We start from the raw sequence: 14,379 nt of genomic DNA on the forward strand, positions 1-14,379 counted from the left end.
CCAAAGATCACGCCGTCAGGAAGCGACAGACCCCAGATCCAATAGCAGCACGAAGCCTGAGCCACTGAATGAATGGTGGAAATTACGGTTCCATCTTGGCCCAAACGTGGGATGTCCCCAGCTGGACCCCGGCCCCTGTGAGATCCCGGGCTCAACCCCCAGCCTCCTGGGACTGTTTTCCCCTTTAAACAGTCATGGGTGCCTCAAACAGACTTTGGGTCAGAGCCTGATGACTTCCTGGGATGGACAGGGGCCCATGGAGATGGGTGCCTAGGAGCCCTGAAGCAAAGCTCTGCAACCCATCCCCCTTCACCAGAGTGAGTAGCAGGAACCGGGAGGCAGGGGTGAGGAACTCAGAGTTTCGGTTAAGGCCAATTCAGGCAGCACTCACTGGAAGCAGCTCAGAGCACCAAGAGGGCAGGAGCAAAAGACCCTTGTCCTGGCTCGTCACCTCCCTCCTCCTCCTCACCTTCCACTTGCCCTCTCCTTACCACCGGCTTCTGAAGACTCAAAGAGCCGACTGAACTCCCAGTTGCCAACACCGAACCCGGCCCTTGGGAAGACATCCTCCCATTTAACGGATGAGGAGACTGAGGCCTGGCTTGGGGAAAGGTGTCTCTTGATTCAGACAGACCTTGTCCTTCCATACTACAAGCATTTACAGAACTCAGGCTGGAGAGCAGATCCCGGGGAAAATGGGGAGACAGAGACATAGTTGAGCAAGACACCAACACTCTAATGAGGGAGAAGCCCATTTGGTCAGAAGAGCCACAAGGAAAAGTTAAAACCTAAGTGCTGAGGGCAGACATAAACCAGCAGCATGCTGTGAGCTCCACAGCCAGGGGCACTCTGGGTGTTGTGCCAGGCCATCATCCACTGACAAGAGTCGGCAACATTTCAGCCTCCTCCAAAACCGTGCCCAGCCAGCGGCAGGAGAGCTCAGGAAGCTTCCAGCCTCCCAGGGAGAGGTCAACACGTGCAAGCTGGGCTGTCCCTAAAGCTGCCATGGCACCTGGAAGCGTGCAGATGGAGCCCGGCTGGCACCCAGTAGGTGCTCATGTCCACTGAAAAAGCAAAGGCAAAGCCTGCTGTCCGGGGGAAGCCCTAGGGTCCCCACATGGCCACAGGGAAGTCCTGTTCCAGGTGGGCAGTTGCCCTCCTCTCACTGCGAACATGGAAAGGCACTGGCCACGAGGGGCCAATGGGGCTGTTGTGTGCACAAGGTCTGCCCCAGGGAGGGCAAAAGACACTGTCCTGGGATTTAGGAAGCTGCCTCTGAACCGGTTCTCCCACGACATCATCCTCCAGGCTGTGGGACCGTTAGGCTGGGCGGAAGTGGACTCCAGCCAAGGGGATGTTCCCAGATGTCATGCTTTCAAACTGGACCCGCCCAGAAAGGCAGGCAGAGACAGGCCTGCGCCCGGGAAAGCCCTGGGTAACGACTCAGGATGGCATTCAGGCCTTTCCTGGGCAGGGGATGGCCACAGGTTTCCCTGGCGGCGGTGTCTATCAATCCCGTCCCAAGAAGGAGAGCCTGGGCGTGGAGGTTCTGGGCAGCTGAAGGCAGAGATCCATCCCTTCCCTGGCTACCCACCCCCACCTCAGCAACGCCTCCCAGAACGCTCCAAAGCTTTCTCAAGTCCCCGCTCCCAGGTTAGGGCCCTGTAGCCAGTTCCAAGGTCTTTTTCAGGAGCGCGCTTCCCAAATAAAGTTGAGAGGGGGCGGGGGGAATGAGGGAGCCCCAGATCCACCTCAGAGTGGTCCCCAGAGGGCTTGGGCCCCTTTCTCCGGATTGTTCAGTGGGAAGGAGGGCCGGCTGGTGCCTCAGGCCCGCGGGACTGTGACAGCCGGCGACCCCTGCGACCTCCCTTTCTACCCGGGCGCCCCCACCTTGAGATAGTCGTTCTCCGAGCGCAGCTCCTCCAGCTCCCGCACCAAGCCGCTGGGCCCGCAGTCCAGCATCTCCTCGGTGAGGTCGGAGAAGGCAAGCGAGGCGCTGAGCGGCAAGCGGCTGCTGCCCACCGACGACGCGGCCACCGACGGCTCGTCCGGGGAGGCGGGCGGCCGCGGGGGCTGCTGCGCGGAGGGCGCGGGCTGGGCCGGCTGCCCCGTACGGACCCCCGCCGGGCCCCCGGCCGCGGACTCGGCGTCGCTGCTCAGCGCCAGCTCCAGGCCCAGCAGGCGCGCCTCCTCCGACGCGCAGTCCGACACCTCCGAGCTGCTATCCGTGAGGCTGGGGGGCGGCGGTGGCGGTCGCGGCCCCGCACCCGAGCGCGGACGGCCCTTGGCACGGACCCCGGTGCGGACCCCGGCCACCCGCACACCCGCACCGCGCGCCCCGGGAGCCACTGCGCGCCCCTTCTTGTCCGGCCGTGAGGAGAACGCGGCGCTGCAGGCGACTGCTGAGCCCGGGCCTGGGCCGCGGCGGCCCTTAGCCAGCGACCAGCCGGCCACGTCTTTGGGCCGGGCCGGCGACGGCGCGCGGTGGCTCTTTTTCCTCTCCGGGGCAGGCGCGGGTGCAGGCGCGGGCTGGGGACCGCAGCCCCGGACCGGGGGCTCGGCCGCCGGCGCCTCCATCGCGGCCTCCCTCGGCCTCAGCGAGCTGCGCGCATGGCCCAGGCCCGCCCGGCCTCGACGTCCCTGGGGAGGGACCCGGCGCGGCTCCGGCCGCTGGGGCTGCGGCTGCTCTCGGCCCACCTCGGCCCCGACACCGCGTCCCCGTCCCAAGCCCCGCCGCGCGGTCTCTCCGCTGCTCTGGGCTCGGAGAGTGCGGCCCGACCGCCTCCAGGCGCCCCGGCTCCGGCTGCGGCTCCGCCCGGCGCCCGCCCCCTCGGCCTCGCCGCGCCCCCGGAGCGCGCCCGGGCCCCCGCCGCCCGCACGCCGATCGCTCCCTCGGGCTCCGAGTCCGGCTGCGGCCCGGGCCCCGGCTCCGCCCGGCGCAGCCCGCCCCCCGCGCAGCCCCGCCAGCTCCCCGCCCCGCCGCCTCGGCTCGGGGGCGCGCGGTTCCGCGAACAAAAGGCGGACGCGGCGGGAGCGGCAGGGAGGGACGCAGGCAGGGAGCGAGGGAGGGATCTGCGAGGCAACAGCGACCCCTTCGAGGGTCAGGCTGGCGCGGGCAGCCGCGGCCCGGGCTCCCTCCTCCTCCGCTCCGCCGCCTCCTCCCCTGCCCGCTCGGGGAAGGCACCCGGCGGAGGCGCCCCTGCGCCCGGCGTCCGGGCAGGGCCTGCGAGAGCGGCGGGAGCCGGGACTCCCGGGCCGAGGCCGGGCGGACCTCAGTTCGCAGGAACCCGCATCCATGCACGCCCAGCGCCTCGCCCCTCGCCCCGTGCCGAGCGTGCGCGAACTCCGCCCCCTTAGCCGGCATCGCCGGAGCCGCGATCCCATCGCACAGATGCGTAAACTGAAGCCTGGGGTGCACGCGCCAAGCTCACGGTCTAGGCGGCGCCGATGGGACCCAAAGCTCACACCTCCCGGGCGCGCTCGGGCTCCCCCTGCCTCGGCTTCCCTCTCCTGGCATAGGGACCGTGAAGCCCTGTGTGCATGCCTGGCTCGCGCACCTTGACCGGCGGATATTTCTCCCCATGCGCCCCCGACCCGGGTTTCAGGCTCTGTACGGCTAAAATGGAAGCGACCCGTAGCTAGGCGCGGTGGCTCATGCCTGTAATCCCAGCACTTTGGGAGGCCGAGGCGGGTGGATCACGAGGTCAGGAGTTCGAGACCAGCCTGACCAACATGATGAAACCCCGTCTCTACTAAAAATACACAAATTAGCCGGGCGTGGTAGCGCGTGCCTGTAATCCCAGCTACTCGGGAGGCTGAGGCAGGAGAATCGCTTGAACCCGGGAGGCGGAGGTTGCAGTGAGCCGAGGTCGCGCCACTGCACTCCAGTCTGGGTGGCAGAGCTAGACTCCATCTCAAAAAAATAAACAAATAAATAAAAACAAAAATAAAATGGAGGGGACCTATTACGAGATGTCAGCCTAGCGGATGCTTTGGAAGGCGGTTTTGGCCCCCGTGGGGGCTGGCATGGGCTGGGACGGTTGCCCTGACCCCACACGTCCCCACCAGGAGCAGTGCAGGAGGACTTGAGCTCTGATGGGCGTGTTTTCTTTCCTCCCGGGCGTCTGGGCGTCTCCTTGGCTCCTGGCCGTGTTGATTTTCCCATGTCTCTCACACCTTCCCCAGCCCCCACACCGCCTGGCCGCTACGCCCCCATCCCTGAGCCACCGCAGGGCAGAGCTGGATTGAGTGCTTTGCCCCACAGATGTACCCTCGTCCTTAGGGTGCCCCACACCCCTTGCCACCAGAAGGGCAGGGCTGTTTTTGCCCCTTTACAACCTCTTTCTCCTCCTGTTCTCTCCTCCCCCTCCCATTTATCCCCTGCTCTTTCTTCCTCCTTCTTCTCCCATCTTTCCCCTTCCTTTCCCCCCTCCTTTTCCAAGTCTTCCTTTTCCTCCTCTTTCCCCTCTTCTTCCTCCTGCCCATTTTCTCCTTCTTCTTCCTCCCCCAATTCCCTTCCTTCACCTCTGCACCTGCCTGTGACACAGCAGGCACCAGGTCCACTTCTTTGTCTCTGTCCCACCTCCCCCACACGCTGTGAATACACTCCTGGGGCATCCCCTCTCTCCAGAGGCATGACTTCATCTGGATCCAGGTGAGTGAGTGCTCCTCCACCCCAACGCTAGGTGCCCTCCATACGGCCAAGTGAGGAGCAGGCACTCAGCAGGCTCTTGGCAAACACTTCCGCAGGGGCATCCCCACCCCCTCCTAGCAAGACACCAGCTCCCCTCACGGCCCACTGACTGTCCACAAACCCTGTTTGCACAGGCGCCAGGTACACTGAGGGACGCAGTGGTGGGCATGTCAGTGCCTGAACTCATGGAGCACACAGTGTGTGTTGGGGGGGACCACAAAAGACTCAGCACAAACAGGGTGGCATGGCATGTGGGCAGGAGTGCTGGAGAAGGATGTGGGAGCCGCAGGCTAGTGACCCAGGGCAGGCCTTCCCACATTCCGGGCCTCAGAGTCCCCACCTGCTCTGGTCTAATGTAACAGATGACAGGGTCCATCCAGCTCAGATGCCCCTGGCTCTAGTAGGCTGCATCTAGTCTGGCACAGAAAGATGCTGTGAAGCTCTTGGAAAGTGTGTCCTCTCTCTGTGCTTCAGTTTCTGCCCCTGTGCAGAACATAGGTTTGGAGGTGTTGGGTGGTGTGAATGCAGGGACATAGCAGACCAGGCTGGCTCAGCCACTCCTGACACACCCTTGGTCACATCAGTGGTCCTGAGATTAGAGTGGCCTGCATCTCTCTTCTAGGGCAGGGATCTGAGTCCTGGCTCTACCACCTATCCTCTCTGGGCCCAACACTCATGGCTGGCCAGGGAGGGGCCTGTGGGTCCCACCTGCTCTGAGGTGCTTTGGATTTGGGGAGTCAAGAATCTACATTGTAGACCCAGGGAAGCCTTGAGAACAACAGGGCTCTGGTGGGGAGGGACTAGGTGGGGCTGACGTAGGGGCTGTGGACTCAGGGTCAGTTCAGACCAGGGATACCACAAAGGAGATAAGACTTGTTGAGAGTCCAGAACTGGCTACATTGTAGACGGGGTGACCGTCCTTGCGCCGGCACATCCTGCAGCTGTGTGATGCGTGGCCTCTTCCTGTGTGCCGGGCTCTGTGCTCCACATTTCAGTAAAGGATCTCCAAAAGGTGAAGATACTTCTTGTGACTGATTAATATTTTCCAAAGGGTATATCTCATCCCAATTGCTCTTCTTACAATGTGACACTGATGCTCCTCCAATTGAGCGGCACATGTGTGCGGCACGTGTGTGGGGGCACTGTGTGCCCCCACCTTGAATCTCAGCAGATCTTGTGACTGTCTCAACCAACAGAGTATGGCAGAAGTGTTCATCTGTGACTTCCAAGGTTAGGTCATAAAAAGCAACATGGATTCCACCCAGCTTGCTTCTCTCTCTCTTTCTCTCTCTCTGTCTCTCTGGCCACTCACCCACCATGATAGGAGGAAGCCCAGGCCTCATGGGGAGACCGCATGAAGGTGATCTAGCCAACAACTCCAGCTCTGGTCCCCACTAACCACCAGACATGTGAGAGAGTGAGCCTGCAGATGATTCAGCCCCCAGACTTGGAGCTGCCCCAGTGGACAAGTGGAGCAGAAATGAGCTGTCTCACCAACCCTGCCCAAACTGCAAAATAAGTATTGTTGTTTTCGGCCACTAAGTTTTGGGGTCATTTGTTACATAACACTGGGTAGCTGGAATGTGTGACCAAGGTCACACAGCTTGGATGTGGCAGGGCTGGGATTGACTTGAACCCAGAGCTGCCCAATTCCAGGGCCTGTTGTGGTACCCTATTGGGCTGCGAAGTGCCCAGCACAGACACACAGTGTGTGCTGCAGAAAGCGCTACTCAAAAGAGACTGAAGCATTACCTTGTAAGAATTATATAACATAGGAAGTGAAGATGCTGATTACCCAAGTAGAAAAACGGTTTCATTTCTCCCATTCAAGCTGCTAAATTGACCAACGTGATGAAAACTGAATGGAGACTCACTCCTGGAAAGCTTCCAAGAGGAGGTGTGTTTTTTCCTTTTAAACTAAAGTTGTTTTGTTTTGTTTTTTCATTATACAGATTAAAAAACAAGCAACTGGCTATGGGAAAATTAGAGGAATCGGTCGGGAAACCTCATTAAATAGGGGAGTCAGGAAGGCCTCTCAGAGAAGGCAGCCTTTTTTGTTTTTGTTTTTGTTTTTTGTTTTTTGTTTGAGATGGAGCCTAGCTTTGTTGCCAGGCTGGAGTGCAGTGGTGCAATCTTGGCTCACTCCAACCTCTGCCTCCTGGGTTCAAGCGATTCTCCTGCCTCAGCCTCCCAAGTAATTGGGATTACAGGCATGCGCCACCATGCCCAGCTAATTTTTGTATTTTTAGTAGAGACGGGGGTTTCACCATGCTGGCCAGGATGGTCTCGATATCCTGACCTTGTGATCTGCCCACCTTGGCCTCCCAAAGAGCTGGGATTACAGGTGTGAGCCACTGCACCCAGCCAAGGAGGCAGCCTTTAAACTGAGTTATTCTTTTTTTTTTTTTTTTTTTTTTTTTGAGACAGAGCTGTCGCCCAGGCTGGAGTGCAGTGGCGCGATCTTGGCTCACTGCAAGCTCCACCTCCCAGGTCCACGCCATTCTCCTGCCTCAGCCTCCAGAGTAGCTGGGACTACAGGCGCCCGCCACCACACCTGGCTAATTTTTTTGTATTTTTAGTAGAGACGGGGTTTCACTGTGTTAGCCAGGACGGTCTCGATCTCCTGACCTTGTGATCTACCCGCCTCGGCCTCCCAAAGTGTTGGGATTACAGGTGTGAGCCACTGTGCCTGGCCTAAACTGAGTTATTCAAGGAGCCACTGAACAGTTAGGGCCTTGCCTTTTTTTTTTTTTTTTGAGACAGTGTTGCTCAGGCTGGAGTGCTGTGGTGTGATCTTGGCTCACGGCAACCTCCACCTCCCAGGTTCAAGCAATTCTCTTGTCTCAGCCCCCTGAGTGTTGGGATTACAGGCGCCCACCACCACACCTGGCTAATTTTTTTTTGTATTTTTAGTAGAGACGGAGTTTGACTATTTTGACCAGGCTGGTCTCTAACTCCTGACCTCAAGATCTGCCTGCCTTGGCCTCCCAAAGTGCTGGGATTACAGGTGTGAGCCACCATGCCCGGCTGCTGCTTTTTCTTTTTTCTTTCTTTTTTTTGAGACAGAGTCTCACTCTGTTGCCCAGGCTGGAGTGCAGTTGCACGATCTCAGCTCACTGCAACCTCCACCTCCCAAGCTCAAATGATTCTCCTGCCTCAGCCTCCCGAGTAGCTGGGATTACAGGTGCGTGCCACCACGCCTAGCTAATTTTTTTTTTTTTTTTTGAGATGGAGTGTCACTCTGCCGCCCAGGCTAGAGTGCAGTGATGCCATCTCAGTTCACTGCAACCTCCACCTCTTGGGTTCAAGCAATTCTCCTGCCTCAGCCTCACAAGTAGCTGGGACTACAGGTGCCCGCCATCATGCCTGGCTAACTTTTGTATTTTTAGTAGAGACAGGATTTCACCGTGTTGGGCAGGCTGGTCTCAAACTCCTGACCTCAAGTGATCCACCCACCTCGACCTCCCAAAGTGCTGGGATTACAGTTATGAGCCACTGTGCCTGGCCCACTTCTGTTTTCTCAATGAAGAATGCAGTTGCCAGCCATTCAGAGTAAGAGAAAGAAGAGATCTCAGAGAGTGAAAATCAAACCTTCTGGGACATGTCAGGGAGTGTCTGGTCATCTTATACTCACCTGAAGTTCAAAGGGGAGCCAGTCAGCCCAGTGAACACCGGGTGTATTCCCTTTTAGTCATTTTCTCTTTGCTAATTTCAAGTTTCTTTTGCATAGCTGAAATCTTACTGCCTATGCAATTTTGTATCCTGCTTTTTTCGCTTAACAGGGTAGCAGAAGCATATCCCCACACATTTATAACACATTTATAAGCTCTTTGCAAACATCACTCTTCATACTTAGAAATAATCCACTGGGCTGGGCGCGGTGGCTCACGCCTGTAATCCCAGCATTTTGGGAGGCCGAGGTGGGCGGATCACAAGGTCAGGAGGTCGAGACCATGCTGGCTAACACGGTGAAACCCCGTTTCTACTAAAAATACAAAAAAATTAGCCAGGCGTGGTGGCGGGTGCCTGTAGTCCCAGCTGCTAGGGAGGCTGAGGCAGGAGAATGGCAGGGACCCGGGAGGCGGAGCTTGCGGGGAGCCGAGATCGCGCCACTGCACTCCAGCCTGGGAGACAGAGCAAGACTCTGTCTCAAAAAAAAAAAAAGAAAGAAAGAAATAATCCACTGGGCCATGCGCAGTGGCCCATGCCTATAATCCCAGCACTTTGGTAGGCCGAGGCGGGCAGATCACCCAAGATTGGGAGTTCAAGACCAGCCTGACCAACATGGAGAAACCCTGCCTCTACTAAAAATACAAAATTAGCCAGGCGTGGTGGTGCGTATGCCTGTAATCCCAGCTACTTGGGAGGCTGAGGCAGGAGAATTGCTTGAACCCGGGAGGCAGAGGTTGTGATGAGCCGAGATCACGCCATCGCACTCTAGCCTGGGCAACAAGAGCAAAACTGTCAAAACAACAACAACAACAACAACACAGAAATAATCCACTGAATGGATGATGTTCCATGAATCACTTCACCTTTCCCCCTTTTATTAGACACTTAAATTTTTTCCTGGATGACTATTGCAGTTCTGAAAGAGGCAGCATGAGGTCTGGTCAAGAAGAATGGAGAAGGCAAATTGCTGGTCGCAGTGGCAGTGCCTATAGTCCCAGCTACTCGAGAGGCTGAGGCAAGACAATGGCTTGAACCCTGGAGTTCTGGGCTAGAGTGTGCTATGCTGATTTGGTGTCTGCACTAAGTTTAGCATCAGCATGGTGACCTCCCCCGGAGCAGGGACCACTAGGTTGCCCAAGGAGGAGTGAACTGGCCCAGGTCAGAAATAGCAGATCAAAACTCCCATGCTGGACCAGGTGCAGTGGCTCATGCCTGTAATCCCAGCACTTTGGGAGCCCAAGGCAGGTGGATCACTTGAGGTCACGAGTTTGAGACCAGCCTGGCCAACGTGGCAAAACCCTGTCTCTACTAAAAAAAAATGCAAATTAGCTGGGCATAGTGTCACAGGCCTGTAGTCCCAGCTATTTGGGAGGCTGAGGCAGAAGAATCGCTTGAACCCAGGAGGCAGTGGTTGCTGTGAGCCAAGATCAAGCCACTGCACTCCAGCCTGGGTGACAGAAGAAGACTCCGTCCAAAAAAAAAAAAAATTAAAATAGGCTGAGTGCAGTGGCTCACACCTGTAATGTCAACACTGGAGGCTGAGGTGGGAGGCTCACTTGAGACCAGGAGTTCAAGACCAGCCTTGGCAATATAGCGAGACCCCGTCTCTACAAAAACAAAATAAATAAATAAAAGAAATTAGCAGGGCATGATGGCGCATGCCTGTAGTCCTAGGTACTCAGGAGGCTGAGGCAGGAGGATTGAGCCCAGGAGACTGGCTGCACTGAGCTATGATCATGTTACTGTACTCCAGGCTGAGTAATAGAGCAAGACCCTGTCTCAAATATAAAGTAAGATAAATAAATAAATAAAGATATAAAAAGAAGGTAAACTTCAAGGCAGAGTCCAGACATCTGCTAGGCCCTCTGGTATCTGGAATTCCATCATAGAAGATTTTTGTTCTTGTTTTTTTTTGGTTTTTTGAGACAGAGTCTTGCTCTGTTGCCCAGGCTTGTGTGCAGTGGCACAATCTCAGCTCACTGCAACCTTTGCCTCCTGGGTTCAAGCGAGTATCCTGCCTCAGCCTCCCAAGTAGCTGGGACTACAGGTGTGTACCGCTACAACCGGCTAAATTTTTTTGTATTTTTAGTAGAGACGGGGTTTCGCCATGTTGGCCAGGTTGGTCTTGAACTCCTGACCTCAAGGAATACACCTGCCTCAGCCTCCCAACGTACTAGGATTATAGGCATGAGCCACTGCGCCTAGCCTTTTTTTTTTCTTTTTGAGTCAGAGTCTTGCTCTGTCGCTCAGGCTGGAGTGCAGTGGTGCAGTCTCGGCTCACTGCAACCCCCACCTCCTGGGTTCAGGCGATTCTCCTGCCTCAGCCTCCCAAGGAGCTGGGACTACAGGCATGCGCCACCACACTCAGCTAAAATTTTTTTTTTTTGTATTTTTAGTAGAAATAGGGTTTCGCCTTGTTGGCCAGACTGGTCTTGAACTCCTGACCTCAGGTGATCTGCCCACGTCAGCCTCCCAAAGTGCTGGGATTACAGGCATGAGCCACTGTACCCAGCCTCCATCACGGAAGCTTTCTAGCAGCCGGTTATGTGGCAGTTGATGTTCCTGCCAGATCACACGCTGAGTTTTCCTGACCATGAGGACACAGAATGGGACAGTAAGGCAAACCCCATTGGCTTCTCAAAGTGCTCAGTGGTTCAGGTGTTGAGCTTGGAGGAGGGGTGGCAAGAAGTGCTAGGCATGTGAGCCCCAAGCCATTTACAGCTTAAACACACATTGCAACAGCCATGTTTGAGGTGGCAACAGGGCCCTTTGCTTACTTGTTTTCCCCATAATACACGTCCTTTTGGCATCCCACACTTCCCGGAGGGAACACTGCCCCAGGACACCCGGCCACGAGCAGGGCATCTGGGGACCCATGTCCTCTCCACCAAGACCAGCAGAATAGGGTCTCTTTCAGCTGTGAAAAGATGGCACAAGCTACCTGTGAAACGGTGGGCTCACCCACCTAACAGGCCGGTGACCTGGGCACATTCCCCAGGGGATTCCCATCCCAGGGGCAGGCTACTGAAGCCCTTTCCAGCTTTGAAGTTCTGTGAGTCAACAACAGAGCAGTCATTGAGATCTTACTGTGAGCTGGGGACAGAGAAGTAGCCCCCTCTTCAATGGATCGTCTACTGCCTGCCAAACATAGCTTCCTGTGTGTGACCTCGCCTAATGTCACCACAGTCCAGTGAGAAACGTCCTCATCTCATCTGAGAGGAAACCAGCAGGGGCCGAGCCTGCCGGCCCTGGAGCACAGGGTGACTGACGGAGAACCCCACAACCTCACCCTTTCCTGTAGTGTTTGTAGATCAGAGATTTTATTTTCTTTTATTTTTGAGACAGGGTCTCACTCTGTTGCCCAGGCTGGAGTGCAGTGATGTGATTTTGGCTCATTGCAGCCTCGACTTTCCCAGGCTCAGGTGATCTTCACATCTCAGCCTCCCAAGTAGCTGGGACTACAGGCATGTGCCACCACACCTGGCTAATTTTTAAAATTTTTTTGTAGAGATGGAGTTGCGCCATGTTGTCCAGGCTGTTCTCAAACCCCTGGGCTCAGGCGATCCTCCCACCTGAGACTCCCCAAATCCTAGGATTACAGGTGTGAGCCACCGTGCCCAGCCATATTGCAGATTTTAACCTCAAGGGAATAGTCTTCAGTGGTGGGCATCAAGCACCAGGACCTGGCATCTGGCAGCTGTGGTGAGAGGCTTCAGGAGAGCCAATGTGCCTGCTATCCCCACCTCTTTGGGCTGTTGGGGGCAGAGCTGGGTGCCGGGGGATGATAAGGTCTTGTTTGTGTGTGCTTGTGGGATTTGAGTTTCTGATGTATCATAATCACTGCTGGGCCTTCCCAGCTGGAACCAGAGTGGGCACAGGGCCAGGGCTTGCCGCCCTCTGGGCAGATATAAGAGCTAGGGAGGAGAGCCTGGAGTCTGGGTCAGAGGGGCCAGCCACCTACCCAGGGACCAGGGATTGGAGCTAGCTGCCGCAGACAGACCACCAGGTGGGCAGGGTCAGTGCCCGTGTGGCCCCCTCTCTGGGGATCAGGGAGATACGCTAAAGGCAGGGTGAGTACATCCTTCCACAGCTCCCTTATTTCCCTTCACCCTTTGAGCTCCTCACCCTGCAACTGACCAAGGGACTGCCTGTCCCAGAGGCACCCAGGTGGAGGCTGAGGGGTCACTTGTCAGGGATTCGAGCCCTAGACTCTCAAAGAGTCAGTGTGGGGGGATTGTAATAAGTATTGCCACTCACCCAGCACCCACAAACAACATAAGGTACTGTTATCTCACCTAACTGAGGTCAGGAGGTTGGATGCCTGGCTTAACACCCTAGCTCTCTAGGCTTTATCTTCATTTACTCTTACAACAGCCCTGATGTAGATGTAGATATTAATATTTACAGGTGAGGTGACTGAAGCACAGGGATGTAAAGTAATTTCCCCAAGGCCACACAGCAAAGAAAGTGGCAAAACCAGGATTTGAACTCTCTGACTCCAGAGCTTGTCCTCTTAACCGCCGTCCTACACTCATGTGACTGTGATGAGTTCCTTCCCTTTTCTGAATGGCAGTTTCCTTATCTCTAGTCCGAGGGTCATAAGGTTTGATGACCAGAAAGATATTACCTTGAGCTTCCCTAAAAGTACTTGGACATGGGTCAACTTTAAGCACCTGGGTAACCTTGTTGGAAACACTTATCAAGAACTATGCATATGGCCTTTGATCCAGCATTCAACTTTTGAAATTTATCATAAAGGATACAGTCAGATTTATGAACAACGTTCATTGCAGTTTTGCTAATAATTAGAGAAAATTAGAAGTAAACAAAATGTCCAACAGCAGGGGGAATAAGTTATGAATGTCCTGTGATGAAATAATACGCAGCCACTCGAGGAATCATGCATTCCAAGAGCGTAGGGTATCTTGGAGAATTCTCGATTGTTGTTAGTAGAAAAAGTATTTTATAAAACTGTGTGGTCGGCCGGGCGCGGTGACTCATGACTGTAATCCCAGCACTATGGGAGGCCGAGGAGGGCAGATCACCTGAGGTCAGGAGTTCAAGACCAGCCTGACCAACATGGAGAAACCTCGTCTCTACTAAAAATACAAAAATTAGCTGGGTGTTTTGGCACGCACCTCTGATCCCAGCTATTTGGGAGGCTGAGACAGGAGAATCACTTGAACCTGGGAGGCAGAGGTTGCAGTGAGCCAAGATCACACCACTGCACTCCAGCCTAGGCAACAGAGCAAGATTCTGTCTCAAAAACAAAAACAACAAAAACACTGTGTGGTCAATATGGTATGAACACATAATGTGAGCCCTTTGCAAATATACCTTTGGGGGTTGAGAGTTTATTTGTGAGAGATGGAATTGTGAATATTTTTATATTCTTATTCTTTTCCGGTTTCTCAAATTTTCTACAATATCTAAATATCACTTTTTAATTAGAAAAAAAAAAGCTTGGGCCGGGCCCAGTGGCTCACGCCTGTAATCCCAGCACTTTGGGAGGCTGAGGCGGGCGGATCACCTGCGGTCAGGAGTTCGAGACCAGCCTGACCAACATAGAGAAACTCCATCTCTACCAAAAATACAAAATTAGCTGGGTGGAGGCTGAGGCAAAAGAATCACTGGAACCCGGGAGGCAGAGGTTGCGGTGAGCCCAGATCACGCCACTGCACCCCAGCCTGGGCAATAAGAGTGAAACTCCATCTCAAAAAACAAAACAAAACAAAACACCTTTTAAAATCTATTCTTTTTTTTTTTACTGAACATTAACAAAAGTTTATTTATGTTTCAATTTAGAAATTCATATGTTCCATAGTGAAACCCCGTCTCTACTAAAAATACAAGAAATTAGCCAGGCGTGGTGGTGGGTGCCTGTAGTCCCAGCTACTTGGGAGGCTGAGGCAGGGGAATGGCGTGAACTCGGGAGGCAGAGCTTGCAGTGAGCCAAGATCATGCCACTGCAGTCCAGCCTGGGCGACAGAGTGAGACTCTGACTCAAAAAAAAA

The 14,379-nt window shown here is 55.1% G+C and overlaps 1 protein-coding gene and 1 pseudogene across 1 annotated transcript in view, besides 4 other annotated features; one reads left to right on the top strand and one right to left on the bottom strand.

Moving 5' to 3' along the window:
• The window catches only part of MTCL2 (microtubule crosslinking factor 2), an 86,092-nt gene extending 83,321 nt beyond the window's left edge, over positions 1-2,771 (bottom strand). Inside the window, exon 1 of the mRNA NM_080627.4 lies at positions 1,891-2,771. Coding sequence (NP_542194.2) covers positions 1,891-2,577 — 687 coding nt within the window. The 5' untranslated portion in view covers positions 2,578-2,771. The remainder of the gene's footprint in view (positions 1-1,890) is intronic.
• Positions 2,371-2,520: a silencer, noted in NCBI's record as "silent region_12880". NCBI's record gives its function as "represses an Ori minimal core promoter by ATAC-STARR-seq in GM12878 lymphoblastoid cells {active_cell/tissue: GM12878}" and the evidence as "EXISTENCE:reporter gene assay evidence [ECO:0000049][PMID:35858748]".
• Positions 2,591-3,480: a silencer, noted in NCBI's record as "silent region_12881". NCBI's record gives its function as "represses an Ori minimal core promoter by ATAC-STARR-seq in GM12878 lymphoblastoid cells {active_cell/tissue: GM12878}" and the evidence as "EXISTENCE:reporter gene assay evidence [ECO:0000049][PMID:35858748]".
• Positions 6,322-6,391: a silencer, noted in NCBI's record as "silent region_12882". NCBI's record gives its function as "represses an Ori minimal core promoter by ATAC-STARR-seq in GM12878 lymphoblastoid cells {active_cell/tissue: GM12878}" and the evidence as "EXISTENCE:reporter gene assay evidence [ECO:0000049][PMID:35858748]".
• Positions 9,332-9,635, top strand: RN7SL156P (RNA, 7SL, cytoplasmic 156, pseudogene; annotated as a pseudogene).
• Positions 11,215-11,721: an enhancer, noted in NCBI's record as "H3K4me1 hESC enhancer chr20:35500385-35500891 (GRCh37/hg19 assembly coordinates)". NCBI's record gives its function as "activates a minimal SCP1, AML or CMV promoter by ChIP-STARR-seq in naive H9 embryonic stem cells {active_cell/tissue: H9 hESC(naive)}" and the evidence as "EXISTENCE:reporter gene assay evidence [ECO:0000049][PMID:30033119]".

Source organism: Homo sapiens, chromosome 20 (assembly GCF_000001405.40).
Source record: "Homo sapiens chromosome 20, GRCh38.p14 Primary Assembly".
Taxonomy (NCBI): Eukaryota; Metazoa; Chordata; class Mammalia; order Primates; family Hominidae; genus Homo; species Homo sapiens.